This window comes from Homo sapiens, chromosome 16, assembly GCF_000001405.40.
Source record: "Homo sapiens chromosome 16, GRCh38.p14 Primary Assembly".
Lineage (NCBI taxonomy): Eukaryota > Metazoa > Chordata > Mammalia > Primates > Hominidae > Homo > Homo sapiens.
In genome coordinates, this window is record NC_000016.10 from 47,825,464 (window position 1) to 47,849,208 (window position 23,745).

General features: G+C 41.5%; 1 annotated feature.

The window, feature by feature from the left end:
- Positions 23,040-23,732: an enhancer, noted in NCBI's record as "NANOG hESC enhancer chr16:47882414-47883106 (GRCh37/hg19 assembly coordinates)". NCBI's record gives its function as "activates a minimal SCP1, AML or CMV promoter by ChIP-STARR-seq in primed H9 embryonic stem cells {active_cell/tissue: H9 hESC(primed)}" and the evidence as "EXISTENCE:reporter gene assay evidence [ECO:0000049][PMID:30033119]".

Consider the following 23,745-nt stretch of genomic DNA (forward strand, 5'->3'; position numbering starts at 1 on the left):
CTAAAAATGACACAAGAAGAATTAGAAAATCTGAATAGTGTACTGTTCTGTATATGTGATATATGTCACACTAAAAAAGTTTACAAGTTTGAAAATAAAGTTAAGAATCACAGGGCTGGAGGGTCATCTAGTAAGTCAGTTGCTTTATTAACTGCTTTTAAGCAGATGAATATGTGGATTCAAATTTTATGAAACCCTAAATACGCAACATAATTTAAAAGGATAGGGGTTACTTACCTTTAATTTCAATTTAGATAAATGAAAAGTCAATTTATAGTCTTTCATATGATAGTGCTTGAAAAACTGGATAACATGATGTTAGAACTTGATAAAACCCCTGAAAGGTTAATAATCAAAAGAAAGGTAGACCCATCTATGGTCTTCTTGACACAGCTTTCATTCGGCTTTCATTCCTCTTAATTTCCTTGACACTCAAACAATTCTTCCTATTTTGATGTCAGTACATTTCATTCTTATGTGAATTAAGAAAAAAAACTGGTCTGTATCTGCCTTGTAACACCTTCTGATGGAAGAAACCAGCTCACCCATTTTTCCTGTTTTCCCTAAATGAATATTATACTTTTCACTTGTCCTGGGATGACATGCTGGTACACGATGAATGTATTTTTGGGGGGCCTACACTGAGTTTTAAAAAGAGTTTCGATTCCTTATAAATCCAGCTGGATTTAGGCTTCATCACAATGCAAGCACTTACTGCCTGTTGTACTTACGTTAGCTGCTCCTTTTAGAACAATGACTCTATTATTTCACCAAACCCTGTCTCTACAGAGTTCCAGCCATACAGCTGGGGTTTTGGGATTGATTCTGACCTCTAAGAGGGGAAAGCCAGTTTGCTCAGCACTCAGGCTACTGAGATGCTGCTGGTGTGACTCTGCCTCTTTTCTACTTTGATTCTGTGATTCTGTGACTGGTTCCTCCCTCTACTCCGTTTATGGTATTATGTTTTCATATGTGAATCTCAGTCATTATAGCTTTGCCATATGCTTCAGTTTCTCACAAAAACCTTCCCCTCTCCACCCCTGTCCTCTCCCCTCTCCTACCACTGAAAGACTGCTCCCTAGTCTTGGCTGAGTGACTGTGTTCCCATCTCTTGTTCAGAGGCTTCCCATCATGACCAGGGTGCTGAGACATTGCCAGTCCCCCTTACAGGGAAGGACAGCATGAAATGTTGCAAGGGGCTTAAAATCAAATAGATGTGGGTTAAGAATCTTGACTCTGACATGTACAGGCTTTTTCCTATTACTCAACCTCTTTGGGTTTCATTTTTCTCATCTGTAAAGAGAAAGTGATGATGACTATCATAAATTTGTAGGAGAATTAAATGAAAACTTATAACAAGCACTCCTTTTGGCCCGTATTCCCACCCTTTCCTAAATTTCCAACACCAGACCTACTTTTGCTGCCTGTGGAGTAAAGAACTTACATGCTCCCCAGTGTCCTCCACTGGCCCAGTTTCTTCCCATCTGGTTCCTTATGTTACCTCCTAAGACTTACGTTCTTAGTCTGTAACCCCGGTTTCCCCTCATCCTTGTCAATATTTTGTGGTCGAAACTTTCGTAGAAGGGAAAGCCAAGACATAACCTATCCAGTGTAGTAACTTTCTGTTATGGCATCCATTCTATTTCAACCACAACTTGGTATCCTACAATTTACTTCTGACTCTAGCCACCCAGAATTAATGTTCAACTCTAGAGATTTAAGGGCTCAGTCCTCCACAAGACTGTGCTGACTTCAGATACCAAACACACCCTGGGGGTTTTCGGGCTGCACTTCTGATGAACTGGCTATAAGTTTAGGGGTCCCCATGACCCTCTCAGTTTTGATAGTTCACTAGAATGACTCACAGAACTTAGGAAAGCAATACACTTATGAATACAACTTTATTTTAAAGGATGCATATAGGGAAGGGAAGGTCTTGAACATAGAGCTTCCATGCCCTATTTCCAGGGAGTAAGGCTTGTGACTTTCCTGGCACATCAGTGTGTTTAGCAACCAAGAAGCTACACTGAGCTTTGTTATCCAGAGTGTTTATTGGAGTCTCATTACACAGGCACACTTGATTAAATCACTGGCCATGTGATTGAACTCAATTTCCAGCCCCTGTTCTCTTCCTGGAGGTTGATCTGGCCAAAATCCCAACACTTTAATCACCTTGTTGGTCTTTCTGGTGATCAGTCCCCATCCTCAAGCTATTTAAGGGCCCACTATGAGTAATCTTATTAGCATAACAATGACACCTATGGCTCAAGAAATTCCAAGGGTGTTAGAATCTCCCATGACAAAAACTAAATTCTGTATTATACTTATGACATCTAATAAGTACTCTTTGATTAGGATGAGAGATTTTATTCTTCCCAGAAGATAAAGGACATAATTCAATGCCAGAAAGTGTAACAGATTAAAACCTAGAAGGCAGATATATTTTGATACATTTTGTTCCTGAACTCAACTCAATTCAAGGTGCACATAGCTAAGCAATTCAGTGAATGCCTTTTTAAAATAATAGCTTACCAAGTAGAGCTTTCTTTGACTTCTCAAGTATGAGTTTTGTAGGGGTTGGTAGCATGTGTACTAGAAATTCTTTTCCACTATTCAAAAAACATAGTTTCAGGATCTTTGCTTTGCAAATGCCATGCTCCACAAAGCAGACTTCCAGCTGTAGTAGCTGTTTTGGCTAATTTTTGATGTTATCAAATTATTTTTCTGTAAGGAAAGGCTAGGAATAAAAAAAGAAAAGATAACTATAGTATTGAATTCTATGGTTGGTCAAGTCCTCAAGTTCTTCTAGTTCAATCCCTGGATATGATATCTGGGTTATTTCACAATATTTCCAACAAGGCTTTGTCCAGTTTTTACCTAGATATCTCCTATGCTTGGGTATTCACTACCTCCAGGGCAGCCTATTCCATGATTGGACAGCCCTGTCTGTGAGAAAGTTCTGTTACATTGAGTTGACACCAGTATCCTCATATTTTCCAGCTGGTGGTTCTAGCTCTTATTCTTGCAGATTGAGAAAAGGATGAGGTACATTCTATCAAAGATGCATGAAAACAGCTATTTCTGCAGGTAGAAGAGGGGTCTTGATATCTTGAGAGTTTTAGCTCCAGGAAAGAGGGTGGTCAAGAGTCTGTTTTATGGCTCCCTTTAGATGTTAACCTGGGAATTTTGTCACTAGAAATTCTGCTAATAATGATATTGAAGTCAATAAAATATTAGCTAGCATTTTTAGTGCTATTATATGCCAGGAGCTTTCTTTGCATGGTAACTTAATTTTCAAAACAATCCTATTGATAGACACGATTGCTTTCATTGCTTTGCAGATAAATTGATGGAGACTCAGAGAGGTCAAATGACTTGCTCAAGATCTCTCAATGAAAGGAGCCGGTTCCAAACCTTGTATCTTAACTCCAGAACCCGTATTCTTAGTGGAAGATTCACTGTCACCTTGCACAGGGGTAGGGCAGTTTGGGTAGCTGGAGTCCCAGCATAAGATGGTAGTGGCAGCACAGTGGGAAAAAAAATCCAAAATAAAAATAAAATGGTCGTTGGTACCAGAATCTAATTCTGTGACTGGTGGCCTAAGAGTCTATTTTTGTAATCTAGACAACTTTCCTGGAAACATCCCACCCCAGGGCATGTTACTAGCTGGATGTCACCTCACAAATGGTTTTACAGATAATTGGTACCATCAAGAATATTGGTCTGAAATTGCTTCATGGGTTAGTAACTGCCCAGGGTCATGGTAACTCAATGAGTGAAGGTTTCTCTGGGCTGAGGATGACAAGTAGCTCCACAGTGAAAGACTTAGGACTGAGGCAATGAAAGGAAGGTTTCAGGGAGTCTCATCAGAGAATGAACCCAGGGGCTCTCCCCATTTCCTTGCCCTCAAAACCTCCATAAGATATCTGACCACACTTGCTCAAGATGCCACCATTGTCAAAATACACACAGTTCCTGCCCTATGCATTTTCTTTGATAAATCCAGCTAAGCTAGGACTGAAGACATAAATCACCTGTGGCATCTGCCTTGGAAATCCAGAGATCCATGTGAAAGATAAGATGAATGCACAAATCTTGGCAATACAAGGCATGCAATGAATGGTCTAAGGGGGAAATAAGCAAAATGATGTGGTGTCTAAAGGAGAGAGCAGTCATTTTTTTCTTGTTGAGAATAAAAGAAGGGTTAACCAAGAAGGCGGTATTTTAATCTGGCAGTCAAAACTGGAGGCCACCATCTGAGTCTAGCCCATAGATGTGTGGTAAAGCAAAGGATGCTACTTGTGTAAGGTAACACATCAAACAAGCATGGGGGTTATATGGGAAAACTCTTTGCTAGATGTTTGTTGTGATGGAAACTGTAGAGGGCACATGAGAGGTTGAATTTGGAAGATAGGCCAGGACTAGATTATGGAGCAAGTTGCCAAGAAATGTGAATTTTCTTTCTTATTAAATATGTGCCACAATGGGATCCTTGTGGGATAGAACTGTCCTGTGTCTCTCTAGCCCTTCTCTCCAGGAGAACACTGAAGAAGGATGGAGGTGAAATCATCAAAATACTCATGAGTCATTCCTGCTTATTTGGTGACAGTATTATGTGCCAAGGGGTGGTTATCGTTACAGGACTAGGAGGACTCTAAGAGGATTAGCAGATGATATATTTTTATGTGGTTAAACTAAGAAACAAGCACATCTTAAATGATACATTATTGGGAATAGAGTGTATTGTGTGTGAGCTTCATTTTATACACAACACACAGATAAGAATTCCTGAAAAAGGCAGCTCTAAACTGTGGCTGCCTCAGAATCACTAACAGCGGCCAGCCTTCTTCCTGCTGTACTCCAACCAGCCAGACTCTGTTTGCCTTGCTCTGAGTACTGTAGGTTGGAAGGATTCCATCTTTAGTCTTCACTTTATTTTCATCTAATATGCCAATTATGGGTCTTGCTGATCTGTTCATGGGCAGTTTTCCAGAAGGCCTGTCTCACTTTGTATAGATTAAATCAATTATGCTGATTCTATTCCATTGACAACACATGGAGGACAATTATTATTCAGGTTCTCCACTTCTAATTCCTGATTTGGATCTACAGCTTGTTCCAGGAATCATCCCTCTTCTTCTTGTACCGTCTCTATCTGGACACAGATCCTGGAGTTATTTCTCTCTCCCTGCCTGAGGAAAGATGAATTTAGCATTACCACTTTGGAGTCATCACAGAATTGTTTGAATGCAAAGCTCTATTGGCTACATCTTGCTATGACAGAGCCTTAGCTGTCACTGAACTTTTCCAAGAATGTGATGAAACCATTGACCTAGAGCCTAGAGACCTGACCTTCAGCCCTGACTTTGCCAGTAACTTTCTCGGGTGGACTTCTGTGGATTGTATCCTTAGCACTGATTCTCTTCTCCCTTTCACAATGGCATCCAACATTTCTCAGCCATTAGATTTTGGTGAACTGATCCTACCTCCTGTTCTAAGGCAGAGTCCTGTTTTGCTTAAGCCAATCTGCACATCCCATTCCAATGGCTACAGTGTTGGGTTCAGAGATGTACTATGTCCCAGGGCAGGTGAATCAGGCCAATGAAGCTAACTTCTGGAGCTTCAATTGAGTTGCTGAGGAAAATGGAGTCCTAGCAAGGAAGCATGTAAGATGCCTTAATGCCCATTTTGGTTCTACAGTGGGAGATCCAGAGGGAGAGAAAGAGAGACAGAGGGAGAAAGAGAGACAGACAGACAGAGAGAGAGAGAGAGGAAGAAGAAAGAGGAGGAAGTGAGGAGAAGAGAAGAGGTTGGCGGGAGAGAGAGACTGACTTAATCCAAATCTTAGTATTGGGGTCCCAGATCAAGTCTGATCTAAAGCTAGATATACCTCTAGACTGTTCAATTATATGAACTAACAGATTCCTTTTGGTGTAAGCCTGTTTGGATTGAGATTTTAATTCTTGCAACCCAAAGCATATGAACTGTGTGGTGTTTGGTGAGCTACTTTCCCTGTCTGAACCTCAGTTTCCTCATCTGCTGCACAAGAGGCTGGGCTGGCTAAGGTCATTTCCAGGTCTGAGATTCTGAAACTCTTTGGTTTTTGCCCCCATTTCTTTATAGTGCACCTGGTGTTTTACCTGATAAGAACAAAAAAAGGAAGTATGAGTTTAGACTTTCTCACCATATTGTAGACTGTGGTAGGAATGCATCAGGAAAGGCCACTCTGAGGAAAAGATTTTTTATTTAGGCCTGAAGAATGAGAGACAATGAGCATGGCAAAACATGATGGGTACATTCCAGGAAGTGGGAGAAGCCATTTGTAAATGGATGATTTGGGGACAGGTTGGCTTCGCTGCAAGTCATAATTGGAAAAGCAAGCATCTATCCAATCTAGAGGTGCACACACCCATTCCTCTCTCGCGTCTAACTTCATAAAGATTTTCATTTCCCTCATGTAAGCACCTTCTATTTCTATTGTGAATGCAAGTTCCTTGAGCATGGAAGTTGTGTCTTAATCAGCTCAGTGCCTCCACAGTGCCTAGCATGATGCTCTGCCAGCACACAGTGGGGATTCCAAGTGGCAGAACAGGGTGAGTAAGGTCTCAAAAGTGGTAGACAGCAAGACAAGCTTTGACAATGAAAAGGAGACCGAGCTGGCTGGAGTGAGGACTTAGTTGGGAGACAAGAGGAAAGGGGTCTACAAAATTATGTTTGGAGAGCACCTCAAATGCCAAGATAAGGTATTTAGGCCATAAGATACTTTTATAGAGGGCATTAAATAATAAGATAATCAGAGGACACATCTGTGCAACCAAAATGCATTCAGTCTCTTTAACAATCCAGGCCATTGACAGACCATTTGGCAATGGAGATTTGTGTGCGCTGAAAATACATTATGCTCTGGAAACAGCTTGGGAGGTTTCTGGCTTCTGTTTTTGGCAATCTTCCAAGAATAATCAATTATATATTTAGGCCCATTCCCCTCACTGGTGTGGACAACCACGGTACTGGTAAGAGGGCTAATTCATGGTAGGGATGTGGCACATTCAGACAGTTACTGGGGTGGACCCAGAGCAAGCCAAGCCAAACATTGCTTGGCTCCCCCGACCAAAGACACACATATACATGCATACATGTACACACATACACAAACACACATATACACACAAACACACACTGCATCTAGCATCTCTTATTATCCAAATGCTCATGGGGACCTGGAATCTGAACATACTGTGAACTACTCTATCAACTCAATGTTTCCACAATAACAAACTCATTCTTTTTCTTCCTCAACCCTAATCTTCTTCCTGACTTATGCATTTCTATTTCCCTTCTTTTTCTAATAAGACACCAACATCTTCTCAATCTTCCAGGCCTCAAAATTTAGTGTCATCTTAGACGCCACCTGCTGTCACTGCTCCCTCATCCAAACAGTCTCCAAGTCTTGCCAATTTCATGCTCATCATCTTGTGTTTACTCTGATAAGGGCTCTGATAATTTCACATTTGTAATTTCATTGAGACTTACCTGAATAAGTATTAAAATTGTTAGAGTAGCCTTCATTTTTGAAACAACCTGAAACTTACGCAAAGCTGTAAAAACAATACAAAGACTTATTTCCTCTTGAACCATTTAAGAGTAAGTTGCTAATATTATGCTCCATTACCTTCAAATAATTTAGTAACCACAGTAACCACAATACAACAATAAATTCAGGAAATTAAAATTGATACATTACTCCAGTCTAATCTATACTCTCCCAGTCCATGTCTTGACTTTTTTTGTTTCCCCAATTTTTCTTTAGAGTTAAAATACATACAACATAAAATTTACCATCTTAGATGTCTTTTCCTTTTAATAGAATTATTTAAAGAGCAGAAGTTTTAAATTTGATAAAGCCCAGTGTATCGAAACAATTTTTATGGATCATGCTTTTGGTATCACATGTAAAAAAATCTTTGTATAACCAAGGTCACAAAAATTTTCTTCTAGAATTTCTTGTAAAAGTTTCATAATTTTAGGTTTTACAATTTGGCCTATAATTCAATCAAAGACCTATGATTTATTCATTGAATTACCTTTTTACCTCTGTCAAAAATCAACTGATAGGGGTGAGATCAGCAAGATGGTGGACTAAGAAGCTCAACATCCTTATTCCCTTACAGAGATCCTGAAATAATAGCAATATTGGATGAAAATACATTTCTGAGTATTCTGGAAACCATTTGGGAAGCTACAGGACCCAGGGAAATGCACAACCAAGAAAAAAAAAAAAGCTGAAAAGTGAAGGAAAGTTGAAGGCATTTTGCTCACTCTAGCTTCTCTTCCCACTCGGTGCAGTGTAGCACCACTGGGAGGAAACCTCCCAATTACTGGCTCCTCCCTTGGGACAGGAAGAAAAGAGTGGAACTTGAATTCAACATTCTGGCTTATTGGGGGCCCCTTGAGGGACTGGTTCTGTTTCTCCTAACTTGGAGTGCTAATGGCAGCAGTTTAGATACCAAGGATAGATTAGATAACAGGTTGGAGGCCACAGTGAAAATAGAGGCAAACACTGCAGCATGTTAGCAGCAGGGAGTCTGCAGTTCCACTGACAGGCATTAGGGAAGCAAGAAATTATGGTCACAGGAATATAATAGAAATGGAAACCAAAAGCTCCTGAGAAGAAGCAGGGGCAAGCTTGTAAGGGAAAATAAGACAGCTAAAAGCAGCCATATATACTGGAATAAAAAACACACTCACAAGTACAAAGAAGACATATGACCAGAAAATGTTTGAGAGATCTCAGAGCCTCTAGCCAGACTCATTGGCGAACGTCTTTTTCTGCACAAAGCCAGCCTATAAAGACTGGGAGAGGTAGGTGTTTATTCAAATCCCCAAATATCAACAAAAGATCACAAGACTTACAAAGAAACAGGGAAACATGACTCAATCAAAGGAATGAAATAAATCTTTGGAAACAAACACTAAAGACATTCAGATATCTGAATTATCTGACAAAGCATTTAAAATAACTGTCAGTGGTTTTAGAGGTGTTCAGCCATATAAAAGAGAACATAGACAACGAGAAGAAATCAGGAAAAGGATGTATGATAGACTAGGAATATCAACAAAGAGGTAGAAACTATGAAGAAGAACTAAAGAGAAATTCTGAAGTGGAAAAATACAATAACTGAGTTGAAAAGTTCAATAGAAGAGCTCAATAGCAGACTTAGTCAAGCAGAAGAAAGAATCAGTGAACTTGAGGACAGGTCATTCGACATATTCTAGTCATAAGACCAAAAAAAAAAAAAAATCACAAAAACCACAAAAGAATGGAGAAAAGTGAAGAGAACCTAAGGGAGTTAAGGGATGCCACCAAGTGGACCAATACAGGCATTATGAGAGTTCCAGAAGGAGAAGAGAGAAAAAGGGGAGAAACTTATTTGAAAAAAAGATGGCTGAAAACTTCCCAAATTTGAGGAAATAAATGGATATGCAATTCCTTGTTATCCCAGCACTTTGGCAGGCTGAGGTTGGTGGATTGCTTGAGCCCAGGAGTTCAAGACCAGCCTGGGGAGGATTGTGAGACTCCATCTCTACAAAAAAACACAAAAATTAGCCAGGCATAGTGGTGTATGCCTGTGGTCCCAGCTACTTAGGAGGCTGAGTTGGGAAGATCACTTGAGCCCAGGGAGTTGAAGCTGCAGTGAGCTATGATTTCTCCCCTGCACTCCACCTAGGTAACAGAGTGAGACCCTACCTCAAAAAAGAAAAAAAAAAGAACAAATTCAGGAAGCTCAACAAATTCCAACTAGGATAAGTTGAGAGAGACCCACACTGAGACACATTCTAATCAAATTGCCACAGGTGAATCACAAAGAGAGAATCTTGAAAGCAGTAGCAAGAGAAAAGTGGCTTACAATGTACAAGGGAGCCTCTATAGGATTATCAAGTTATTTCTCAGCAGAAACCTTACAGACCAGAAGGCAGTGGGATTCAAACTGCTGGGAGAAATAACTTGTTGACTAAGAATAATTGATATGGCAAAACTGTCCTTCAAAAATGAAGGAGAAATTAAGGTTTCCCCCAATAAACAAAAGCTGAGGAAGTGTATTACCACTAAACCTGCCCTACAAGAAATGCTAATGAGTCTTCTAAGGTGAAATGAAAGGACACTAGACAGCAAGGTGAAGACATGTGAAAATATAAAGTTATCTAGTAGAGGTAAATATATGGACAAATATAGAAAACTGTATCATTGTAATTTTGGTGCATAAATCTACCTTAAATTCTTGCAGAGAAGGTAAATTATTGTATAGAATTTTAAAAACAAAAGCATAAAATAGCTATAAAATACATGAAATAAACTAAGATTAGAAGAAAACTACCTCAACATAATAAAAGCCATTTATGAAAAATTCACAGTGAACATGATACTCAATGGTAAAAGAGTGAAAGCTTTTCCTCTATGTTCAGGAACAAGGCCAGGATACCCACTTTTGCCACTTCTGTTCAATGTAGTTCTGGAAGTTCTATCCAGAGCAATGGGCAAGAAAAAGAAACAAAAGTCATCCAAACTGGAAAAGAAGAAGTAAAATTATCTCTGTTGACAGATGATATCTTATATGTAGAAAACTTTAAAGATTCCACAAAAAACCTGTTAGAACTAATAAACAAATTCAGTAAAGTAGTAGGATACAAAGTCAATACACAAAAATCGTTGCATTTCTATGTGTGAACAATGAACAATATGAAAAGGAAATTACAAGAATAATTCTATTTACAATAGCATAAAAACAATTGGGAATTAACCAGGGAGGTGAAAGATTTGCACATTATAAACTATAAAACAAGGTTGAAAGAAATGGAAGAAGACATAAAGGGAAATATATCATATGTTCAAGGATTGGACAACAATATTTTTAAGATGTTACTCTACTTCAGATAATCTACAGATTGAATGAAATCCCTATCAAAATCTCAATGACTTTTTTTTCAGAAATAGAAAAGTATATTCCAAAATTTTCATGAAACTTCAAGGGATTCTGGACAGCCATAACAATCCTAAGAAAAAAAATACAGCTAGAGGATTCATATTTCCTAGCTTCCAAACTTACTAAAAAATTATAGTAATTGGCCAGGTGTGGTGCCTCATACCTATAATCCCAGCAGGGAGGCTGAGGTGTGAAGATCACTTGAGCTCAAGAGTTCCAGATTAGCCTGAGCAACATGGCAAAACCCTGTCTCTACAAAAAAAAAAAAAGAAAGAAAAAAGAAAAAAATACAAGAATTAGCTGGGCATGGTGGTGTGTGCCTGTGTCCCTGCTACTCAGGAGGCTGAGGTAGGAGTATCACCTGAGCCCAGGGAGGTAGAGGATGCAGTGAGCCATGATTGTACCACCTCACTCCAGCCTAGGTGACAAAGTGAGACTCTGTTTCAAAAAAACAATAATAATCAAAACAGTGTGGTACTGGCATAATGACAGACATATAAGCCAATATAATAAAACAGAAAGCCCAGAAATAAACTGGCCAGATGATGATCAGGGTGCTGAGACCATTCAATGGGGAATAGTCTTTTCAACAAATTGTGCTGAGAAAACTGGTTATCTACACACAAAAGGATCAAGTTGGACCTTTACCTAACACCATACACAAACATTAACTCAAAATGGATGAAAGATCTAAATGTAAGACCTACAACTATAAGACTCTTAGGAGAAAACATAGGGCAAAATCTTTACATTTGATCTGGTCATGATTTCTTGGAAATGACCTCAAAGACACAGGTAATGAAAGAAAAAAATAGACAAATTAGGCTTCATGAAAGTTTTTAAAAATTGTGCATCAACAATGGTTGAACTAGTTTACAGTCCCACCAACAGTGTAAAAGTGTTCCTATTTCTCCACGTCCTCTCCAGCACCTGTTGTTTCCTGACTTTTTAATGATTGCCATTCTAACTGGTGTGAGATGGTATCTCATTGTGGTTTTGATTTGCATTTCTCTGATGGCCAGTGCTGGTGTGCATTTTTTCATGTGTTTTTTGTCTGCATAAATGTCTTCTTTTCAGAAGTGTCTGTTCATGTCCTTCGCCCACTTTTTGATGGGGTTGTTTGTTTTTTTCTTGTCAATTTGTTTGAGTTCATTGTAGATTCTGGATATTAGCCCTTTGTCAGATGAGTAGGTTGTGAAAATTTTCTCCCATTTTGTAGGTTACCTGTTCACTCTGATGGTAGTTTCTTTTGCTGTGCAGAAGCTCTTTAGTTTAATTAGATCCCATTGGTCAATTTTGGCTTTTGTTGCCATTGCTTTTGGTGTTTTAGACATGAAGTCCTTGCCCATGCCTATGTCCTGAATGGTAATGCCTAAATTTTCTTCTAGGGTTTTTATGGTGTTAGGTCTAACGTTTAAGTCTTTAATCCATCTTGAATTGATTTTTGTATAAGGTGTAAGGAAGGGATCCAGTTTCAGCTTTCTCCATACGGCTAGCCAGTTTTCCCAGCACCATTTACTAAATAGGGAATCCTTTCCCCATTGCTTGTTTTTCTCAGGTTTGTCAAAGATCAGATAGTTGTAGATATGCAGCGTTATTTCTGAGGGTTCTGTTCTGTTCCATTTATCTATAAGAAGTCAGTGTGGTGATTCCTCAGGGATCTAGAACTAGAAATACCATTTGACCCAGCCATCCCATTACTGGGTATATACCCAAAGGACTATAAATCGTGCTGCTATAAAGACACATGCACACGTATGTTTATTGTGGCACTATTCACAGTAGCAAAGACTTGGAACCAACCCAAATGTCCACCAATGATAGACTGGATTAAGAAAATGTGGCACATATACACCATGGAATACTATGCAGCCATAAAAAATGATGAGTTCATGTCCTTTGTAGGGACATGGATGAAATTGAAAATCATTATTCTCAGTAAACTATCGCAAGGAGAAAAAACCAAACACCGCATATTCTCACTCATAGGTGGGAATTGAACAATGAGAACACATGGACACAGGAAGGGGAACATCACACTCTGGGTACTGTTGTGGGGTGGGGAGAGGGGGGAAGGATAGCATTAGGAGATATATCTAATGCTAAATGATGAATTAATGGGTGCAGCACACCAGCATGGCACATGTATACATATGTAACTAACCTGCACATTGTGCATATGTACCCTAAAACTTAAAGTATAATAAAAAAAATTGTGCATCAAAATACAATATAAACAGAGTAAAAAATCAACCAATAGAATGGGAGAAAATGTTTGCAAATCATATATCTGATTGTCAGGCCTCGGAGCCCAAGCTAAGCCATCATATCCCCTGTGACCTGCACCTACACATCCAGATGGCCAGTTCCTGCCTTAACTGATGACATCCCATGACAAAAGAAGTGAAAATAGCCCGTCCCTGCCTTAACTGATGACATTATCTTGTGAAATTCCTTCTCCTGGCTCATCCTAGCTCAAAAGCTCCCCTACTGAACACCTTGTGACCCCCATCCCTGCCAGGCAGAGAACAACCCCCTTTGACTGTAATTTTCCTTTACCTACCCAAATCTTATAAAACGACCCCACCCCAACTCCCTTCACTGACTCTCTTTTCAGACTCAGCCCGCCTGCACCCAGGTGAAATAAACAGCCTTGTTGCTCACATAAAGCCTGTTTGGTGGTCTCTTCACATGGACGTGAGTGAAATGAAGTGAAATTTGGGCCGTGACTCAGATCGGGGGACCTCCCTTGGGAGATCAACCCCCTGTCCTCCTGCTCTTTACTCCATGAGAAAGATCCACCTACGACCTCGGGTCCTCAGAACAACCAGCCCAAGGAACATCTCACCAATTTTAAATCTGGTAAGCGGCCTCTCTTTACTCTCTTCTCCAACCTCTCTCACTATCCCTCAACCTCTTTCTCTTTTCAATCTTGGTGCCATACTTCAATCTTTCCTTTTTCTTAATTTCAGTTCCTTTCCTTTTCTGGTAGAGACAAAGGAGATACATTTTATCCGCGGACCCAAAACTCTGGTGCTGGTCACGGACTCAGAAAGACAGTTTCCTTTGGTGTTTAATGCCTGCCTGATTATTCACCCACGTTTCAGAGGTGTCTGACCATGCGAGGACACCTGCCTTGGTCCTTCACCCTTAGCAGCAAGTAGCACTTTTCTGGGGGGCAAGCACCCCATGACCCCTTCTCTCCGTGTCTCTACCCCTTCTCCACTTTTCTGGGGGCAAGCACCCCCCGACCCCTTCTCTCCATGTCTCTACTCTCTCTTTTCTCTGGGCTTGCCTTCTTCACTATGGGCAACCTTCCACCCTCCATTCCTCCTTCTTCTCCCTTAGCTTGTGTTCTCAAGAACTTAAAACCTCTTCAACTCTTGTGTGACCTAAAATCTAAGCATCTTATTTTTTTCTGCAACACTGCTTGACCCCAATACAAACTTGACAGTGGTTCCAAATAGCCAGAAAATGGCACTTTGGATTTTTCCATCCTACAAGATCTAAATAATTCTTGTCTTAAAATGGGCAAATTGTCTGAGGTGCCTGATGTCCAGGCATTCTTTTACACATCAGTCCCTCCCTAGTCTCTGTTCCCATGCAACTCATCCCAAATCTTCCTTCTTTCTCTCCTGTCTGTCCCCTCAGTCCCAAGCCCAAGCATCGCTGAGTCTTTCCTCTTTTGAATCTTCCTTTTCTATGGAACCATCCGACCTCTCCCCTCCTCCCCAGGCTGCTTATCACCAGGCCGAGCTAGGTCCCAATTTTTCCTCAGCCTCTGCTCCCCCACCCTATAATTCTTTTATCACCCCTTCTCCTCACACCCAGTCTGGGTCACAGTTTAATTCCACGACTAACCCTCCCCCACCTGCCCAGCAATTTCCTCTTAAAAAGGTGACTGGAGCTAAAGGCATAGTCAAGGTTAACACTCCTTTTTCTTTATCTGACCTCTCCCAAATCAGTTAGTGTTTAGGCTCTTTTTCATCAAATATAAAATCCCAGCCCAGTTCCTGGCTCATTGGGCAGCAACCCTGAGATGCTTTACAGCCCTAGACCCTAAAAGATCAAAAGGCCGTCTTATTCTCAATATATGTTTTATTACCCAATCTGCTCCTGACATTAAATAAAACTCCAAAAATTAAATTCCAGCCCTCAAACCCCACAACAGGACTTAAGTAACCTTGCCTTCATGGTGTATAGTAATAGACAAAAGGTAGCCAAGTAGCAATGTATTTCTGAGTTGCAATTCCTTGCCTCCACTGTGATACAAACCCCAGCCACATCTCCAGCACACAAGAACTTCGAAACACCTGAACAACAGTGGCCAGGTGTTCCTCCAGGAGCTTGCCACAAGTGCCAGAAATATGGCCACTGGGCCAAGGAATGCCCACAGCCCGGGATTCCTCCTAAGCTGTGTCCCATCTGTGTGGGACCCCACTGGAAATTAGACTGTCCAACTCACCCAGCAGCCACTCCTAGAGCCCTTGGAACTCTGGCCCAAGGCTCTCCGACTGACTCCTTTCCAGATCTTCTCAGCTTAGCTGCTGAAGACTGACACTGCCTGATCGCCTCGGAAGCCTACAGGACCATTAAAGACACCGAGCTTTAGGTAACTCTTACAGTGGAGGGTAAGTCCTTCCCCTTCTTAATCAATATGGAGGCTACCCACTCCACATTACCTTCTTTTCAAGGGCCTGTTTCCCTTGCTTCCATAACTGTTGTGGGTATTGATGGCCAGGCTTCTAAACCCCTTAAAACTCCCCAACTCTAGTGCCAACTTGGACAATATTCTTTTATGCACTCCTTTTCAGTTATCCCAACCTGTCCAGTTCCCTTATTAGGTCTAGGCATTTTAACTAAATTAGCTGCTTCCCTGACTATTCCAAGGCTACAGCCACACCTCATTGCCGCCCTTTTCCCCAGTTCAAAGCCTCCTTCACATCCTTCCCTTGTATCTCCCCACCTTAATCCACAAGTATAGTACAACTCTACTCTCTCCTTGGTGACTGATCATACACCCCTTACCATCCCATTAAAACCAAATCACCCTTACCCCACTCAATGCCAATATTCCATCCCACAGCATGCTTTAAAAGGATTAAAGCCTGTTATCCATCACCTGTTACAGTATGGCCTTTTAAAGCCTATAAACTCTCCTTACAATTCCCCCATTTTACCTGTTCAAAAACCAGACAAGCCTTACAGCTTAGTTCAGGATCTGTGCCTTATCAACCAAATTGTTTTGCCTATCTACCCTGTAGTGTCAAACCCATATACTCTCCTATCCTCAATACCTCCCTCCACAACCCATTATTCTGTTCTGGATCTCAAACATGCTTTCTTTACTATTCCTTTGCACCCTTTATCCCAGCCTTTCTTCACTTTCACTTGGACTGACCCTGACACCCATCAGGCTCAGCAAATTACCTGGGCTGTACTGCCTCAAGGCTTCACAGACAGCCCCCATTACTTCAGTCAAGCCCAGATTTCTTCCTCATCTGTTACCTATCTCGGCATAATTCTCATGAAAACACAAGTGCTCTCCTGCTGATCATGTCCAGCTAATCTCCCAAACCCAAATCCCTTCTACAAAACAACTCCTTTCCTCCCTAGGCATGGTTAGGTACTTCTGCCTAGGTACCTAGGTACCTAGGATACCTAGTTTTACCATCCTGACTAAACCATTATATAAACTCACAAAAGCAAACCTAGCTGACCCCACAGAGCCTAAATCCTAGCTGACCCCACAGAGCCTAAATCCTTTCCCCACTCCCCTTTCTGTTCCTTAAAAACAGCCCTAAAAGCTGCTCCCACACTAGATCTCCCTAACTCATCCCAACCTTTTTCATTACACACAGCCGAAGTGCAGGGCTGTGTGGTTGCAATTCTTACACAAGGACCAGGACCACGCCCTATAGCCTTTCTGTCCAAACAACTTGACCTTACTCTTTTAGCCTAGCCCTCATGTCTGCGTGCAGTGGCTGCCACTGTTTTAATACTTTTAGAGACCCTCAAAATCACAAACTATGCTCAACTCACTCTGTACATTTCTCATAACTTCCAAAATCTATTTTCTTCCTCCCACCTGATGCATATACTTTCTGCTCCCCGGCTCCTTCAGCTATACTCACTCTTTGTTAAGTCTCCCACAATTACCATTGTTCCGGACTTCAATCCAGCCTCCCACATTATTCCTGATACCACACCTGACCCCCACGACTGTATCTTTCTGATCCACCTGACATTCACTCCATTTCCCCATATTTCCTTCTTTCCTGTTCCTCACCCTGAACACACTTGGTTTATTGATGGCAGTTCCACTAGGCCTAATCGCCACTCACCAGCAAAGGCAGGCTATGCTATAGTATCTTCCACACCTATCATTGAGGCTACCACTCTGCCCCCTCCACTACCTCTCAGCAAGCTGAACTATTGCCTTAACTCAGGCCCTCACTCTTGCAAAGGGACTACACATCAATATTTATACTGACTCTAAATATGTCTTCCATGTCCTGCACCACCATGCTCTTATATGGGCTGAAAGAGGTTTCCTGTCTATGCAAGGGTCCTCCATCATTAATGCCTCTTTAATAAAAATGCTTCTCAAAACTGCTTTACTTCCAAAGGAAGCTGGAGTCATTTGTTGCAAAGGCCATCAAAAGGCATCAGATTCCATGGCTCAGGACAATGCTTATGCTGATAAGTTAGCTAAAAAAGCAGCTAGCATTCCAACTTCTATCACTCACGGCAGTTTTCCTCCTTCTCATCTGGCCACTCCCACCTACTCCCCGACTAAAACTTCCACCTATCAATCTCTTCCCACACAAGGCAAATAGTTCTTAGACCATGGAAAATATCTCCTTCCAGCCTCACAGGCCCATTCTATCCTGTCATCATTTCATAACCTCTTCCATGTAGGTTACAAGCTGCTAGCCCACCTCTTAGAAGCTCTCATTTCCTTTCCATCGTGGAAATCTATCCTTAAGGAAATCACTTCTCAGTGTTCCATCTGCTATTCTACTACTCCTCAGGGATTGTTCAGGCACCCCCCCCACCCTTCCCTACACATCAAACTCAGGGATTTGCCCCTGCTCAGGACTGGCAAATTGACTTTACTCACATGCCTCGAGTCAGGAAACTAAAATACCTCTTGGTCTGGGTAGACACTTTCACTGGATGGGTAGAGGCCTTTCCCACAGGGTCTGAGAAGGCCACTGCAGTCATTTCTTCCCATCTGTCAGATATAATTCCTCGGTTTGGCCTTCCTACCTCTATACAGTCTGATAACGGACCAGCCTTTATTAGTCAACTCACCCAAGCAGTTTCTCAGGCTCTTGGTACTCAGTGAACTAATGGTCTTTTAAAAACACACCTCACCAAGCTCAGCCACCAACTTAAAAAGGACTGGACAATACTCTTAACACTTTCCCTTCTGAGAATTTGGGCCTGTCCTTGGAATGCTACAGGGTACAGCCCATTTGAGCTCCTGTGTAGACCCTCCTTTTTCTTAGGGCCCAGTCTCATTCCAGACACCAGGTCAATTTGGACTGTGCCCCAAAAAACTTGTCATCTCTACTATCTTCTGTCTAGTCATACTCCTATTCACCATTCTCAACTACTCATAAATGCCCTGCCCTTGTTTACACTGCCAGTTTACACTGTTTCTCCAAGCCATCACAGCTGATATCTCCTGGTGCTATCCCCAAACCACCACTCTCAACTCTTAAATAAATAATCTTTGCTGGCAGGGCTATGCTGAACTTCCTTAGGCACTCTCTAATTGGATGTCCTAGGTCCTCCCAATTCTTAGTCCTTTAATACCTGTTTTTCTCCTTCTCTTATTCCGTTTAGTTTTTCAATTCATACAAAACCATATCCAGGCCATCACCAATAATTCTATATGACAAATGCTCCTTCCAACAACCCCACAATATCACCCCTTACCACAAAATCTTCCTTCAGCTTAATCTCTCCCACTCTAGGTTCCCATCCCACCCCTAATCCCACTCAAAGCAGCTCTGAGAAACATCGCCCGTTATCTCTCCATACCATCCCCCCAAATTTTTGCTGCCCCAACACTTTACCACTGTTTCATTTTATTTTTCTTATTAATATAAGAAGACACTGATAATGGATTAATATCCATAATATATAGTAAACTCCTAAAACTCAACACCAAAAAAGGAAACAACATAATTCAGCAATGTTCAAAGGACTTGAATATACATTGAATCTCCAAAGATTTACAGATGGCCAATAAGCACATGAAACGATGCCCAATATCACTGAATTACTGATCATTAGGGAACCGCAAAGAAAAACTACCATGTGATACCACCTCCCACCGATTAGAATGGCTGCTATTAAAAAAAAAAAAAAAAGAAACCACAGAAAACAAGTGTTAGTGAGGATATGGAGAAATAGGAACCCTTGTGCACTGCTGCTGGGAATGTAAAATGGCACAGCTGCTATGGAAAACAGTATGAAACTTCCTCAAGAAAATTAAAAATAGAATTACCATATGATTCAGCAATTCCACTTCTGGATATATATCCACAAGAATTGAAAGCAAGGTCTTGAAGAGATCTTTGCACACCCATGTTCATAGCAGCATGATTCCCAATAGCCCAAAGGTGGAAGCAATCCCAATGTCCATTGACAGATGAATGGATACACACATATATACATATTTATTAATTTGTTAGTGCCACCATAACCAAATATCACAAACTGGGTGGCTTAAACAACAGAAATTTATTCTCTTACAGCTGCGGATGCTACAAGTCCAAGATCAAGGTGTGGCAGGGTTGGGTTATCTGAGGCCTTTCTCCGTGGCTGGCAGGGGACTGCCTTCCTGCCATGTCCTTCCATTCATCCCTTCTCTGTGTAAGTGCCTCCCTGGTGTCTCTTCCTCTTCCTATAGAGACAGTAGTCCTATTAGGTTAGGGCTCTACACTTACGACTTCATGTAACCCTAATTACCTCTTTAAAGGCCCTATTTCCAAATATAGTTATATTGGGGGTTAACTAAGGCTTCTACACTTGGGTAAGGGCACAATTCAATCTATAACAACTTGTAATAGAATATCATTCAGCCTTAAGAGGAAGGAAGTCTGTTACCTGCAAAAATATGGATTAACCTTGAGGACATTATCACCAAGTCTACACCAAAGACTCCCATCATGTGATTTTTAAAAACTGTTGTTCCCTCTCCTGCCAGCCAGAGCACCCACCCCTTCTGCCTGCATCTTCCTGTCACATACCTCTGAGCCTTTGTACACTGCTATTTTCTCTCCTGGAATGTCTTCTCTTCGCTCCCCTCATCAGAGCAAATCTTGTTCACCCTTCTAAGCCCAGCCAAAGTGCTGTCTTTGAAGTTCCTATTCCTGAAGTAGAGCTCATGTCTCTTCTGTGTTCCTCCAGTTCTTTGTACAACATGCTAGATCACAACTCTCTCTCTTTCAGCCTCCTCCACCAAACCGTAAGCTCTCAAAGGCACAGAGTCTCTCCTCTCTCCTCATTCATGCCTTGTACAATGACCATACATGGTAGATACCAATGTTTGTTGAGTGAATGCAGGCGCAGGTAGGCAAACAATGGTAAGGGAATTAAGACTAGCATGGCTCAATCATATTTGGTTACCTTGTCCATTCAAAGTGTGGTGGCAAAGTGTGGTACGTGTATCAATAGTGGCCCACAGGATGACTTTAGGTAGCACCTGGATGAACCCATTTTTACATAGTTATGTAACCGCCCAATGTGTTAATTTTGCCTGCTGGTCAGGCAGAGCTGACTTATCAAGATGGGGGAATTGCATTAGAGTAAGAGTTTAATTCAAGAAGAGCCAGCTGAATGGGAGACTGGAATTTTATTACTCAAATCAGTCTCCCTGAACATGTGGAGACTAGGGTTTTTCAAGGATAGTTTGGCAGGCCAGAGAATGGGTGCTGTTGATTGGTTGAGGATGCCATCATAGGGGTGTGGAAAGTGATCCTCCTGCATGCTCAGTCTGCTTCTGAGTGGGACCACCGGACCCCTTGGTAGGTCCAGGTGGAGCCATCTGTCATCAGAAATGAAAAAACCTGAAAAGACATCTTAAGAGGCTAATCTTATGTTCTACAAGAGTGATTTATCTGCAGGAATAATTGGGAAAGTTGCAAATCTTGTGAACCCCAGCATAATGACTGGTAATCCTTTACATGTTAGCAGAATTCAGGCTCATGTCATCCTCCTGACCTGGTGGTCTTTCATTAGCCTTACAAAAGTGGTAGAGTTTCGGGGAAGGGATATTACCATTTGAAGTATAAACTAAATGTCTCCCAGAGTTAACTTGGACTAGGCCCAGGAATAATTAGGGCAGTTTGGAGGTTAAAGGCAAGATGGAAGTGAGTTAGATCAGATCTCATTCATTGTCATAATTTTCTCACTGTTATAATTTTTCCAAAGGTGGTTTCAGTTATAAGCTCACATTAACGTGTTCTAGAAAAGATATAACTACATCTGAAACCTGCAATTTCATGGATCTCATTGCTTCTTGAAGGAAATAAAGATATTTTACTCCAAAATCTATTTATTTGACATATTTTGAAATGGCTGCCACAGAGCCAACAGACAGAAGTGGCTTGCAAAGCTGTCTTTTGTGGGGGAAATTTGCATCTGTAGAGAATCTCCATGGATGCAGCCAGGCCTTCCGTTTCTAGGCCTTTCCTGGATCTATGGGAGATTGAGAGTCTGACCCTTTAAATGTCAGAAAAGGGACATTTACCATATGTTCTCTTTAGGGCTGCCACCCAAGAGGCTTACTCTACATAATGAGACCCCCTTTGGTAGCCAGGCCCCTTCCTCTCCCCTTCTCATAACCTGCCTTGGCACTAAACTTGATCTACCAACCTAACCTGTTTTGGGCCATGCTCTGAGCATGCATTATTTCTATAACCTCGAGATGCTATGCAAGCTTTGGAACCTAACCAGGGAATTACATCATCATTCTCAAGGTTCCTGTGTATACATATTACACACATTTGTCTGCCTTTTGTGAGTTGATTTTTCAGCAGAACTTCAGAGGGTCAAGGGGAAAGCTCTTCCTTGGCCCTCAGTTCTCATGAGGCTAAGTAAGAAGAAGTCAATTTAACTAAAACCGAGTAAGTAATGCTACAGGTGGCTCACAGGCATGGCAAAAATCTGAAATGTTGGAAGAAGGAGAAACATGGGGCTAGTCTTTAGTCTCATTTTTAGGCAGAAGTATAGACTGATGTTCCCAATGACATTTGGAGAATGGTATTTTCCATGATTCATTCTTCTTTTCAATCTTCACTAGCAGGAAGCAGTGGCGTGAGCTGGGGAGGGGAAGTAAAGGCGTCCTTAATCGTGTCTCCACCTGCCTTCCAAGATGCTGCCTTCGATTTTGTTTTGAGTAAGGGATGATAAGCCATCCTCTTAGAGAGCATCAGCTCATTCCTTTCATAGCCAAGCTCATCAGCATTTCTGGTGATTGTGTATTGTGGTATCTGCAAACAAGTGATGTATATTCTGCAGGCTTTTCAACCAGGATATTTGTAAGATACATGTTAAAAAGATGGGTCTTGGTTTGCTTCCAAGTCACAAAAATGTGAATCCTCTTTAAAAATGGTATTTGCACCTAAAGCTGACCTATGGAATGGAGTGGAGGTGGGCAGGTGGTAACCAGGAGGTGGCAAGGGGAGGAAGAGCCAGATGGGGGGAGGTGGTAGTAGTATTTTTTATATTACAGGAAGATGTTTTGCCTTACAAAAGGATTAATCACAGGGTTCCTTTTAAGCAGAAAGTTTCATGCATTTTAAAAGATGATTTGATTTACAAGAAACTTTTCAGGAACACAGCTGCTGGGCAAAGCAAGCTATTTACACTGACTTGAAATCCATTTTATGAGCCAGGAGTCTGGGGTGTCAGGGGGAGTGATAAAACTCCTTTAGGTTTTAATTGACAAGTGATATTGACTAGCACAGTTAGGAGCCCAGGTATTGGGCCTGGTCCAGCGTGTTCCCATAGTAAATATGCGTGAATGTGCTGAGTGCTTGAGTATTGATTCATTTATTTACCTGTTTGGCTGTTGCTGTGAAAGGCTTTGTATTTTGCAGCTTTGGAGCCAAGCTGCCTTTCACAGAAGGCTGTGTTAGAATGTACTAGATTGTTCAGCATGAATCATCTGGCTCGATGGCCTATGGGGAGGGAGCTTGGCCTCGTACATCACTGCAAGACAGAGACTCAAAGACATCTGTGGAGGGGAGGCACACAGGGGGTTAGGGAGCCACAGGAATGAGGAGATGAGATCTTTTTCTCAAAAACAAGCCTTAGGGTTGCTTTAAAGCCCCCTTTTCCCTTTTATTCAGACTGCTAATAGCTACCTCCCTCCCAATTGTCCCACCCCATTGAGTCTTTATTATCTCCTCTCTCTTGCAGAAATTCCACCGGAGCCCCAGGGTCCTTAAGTGATTCCCCATTTCCCTGCTCCCTGCTGCAGAGACACAATAACAAAGCATCAGGTTGAGAGCCTCCAGAAAGAGAGACCCTCCTACTGCTGAGCCTCAAATCTCTACCAGGCAAAGAAAACAACAACAGGCTTTTGTGCCACAGGTTCTAAGACCCACCCTGAACACCATCCTTGAGCCAGCAAAGTAAGGGTATCATACATAGAAAAGAGCTGCTTTTCCTCATAGGGTAAAGATGTTAGAAGCTCAATCATTGCCAATGGCAGATGTTTACTGAGTGTCAGAAAGAGAGG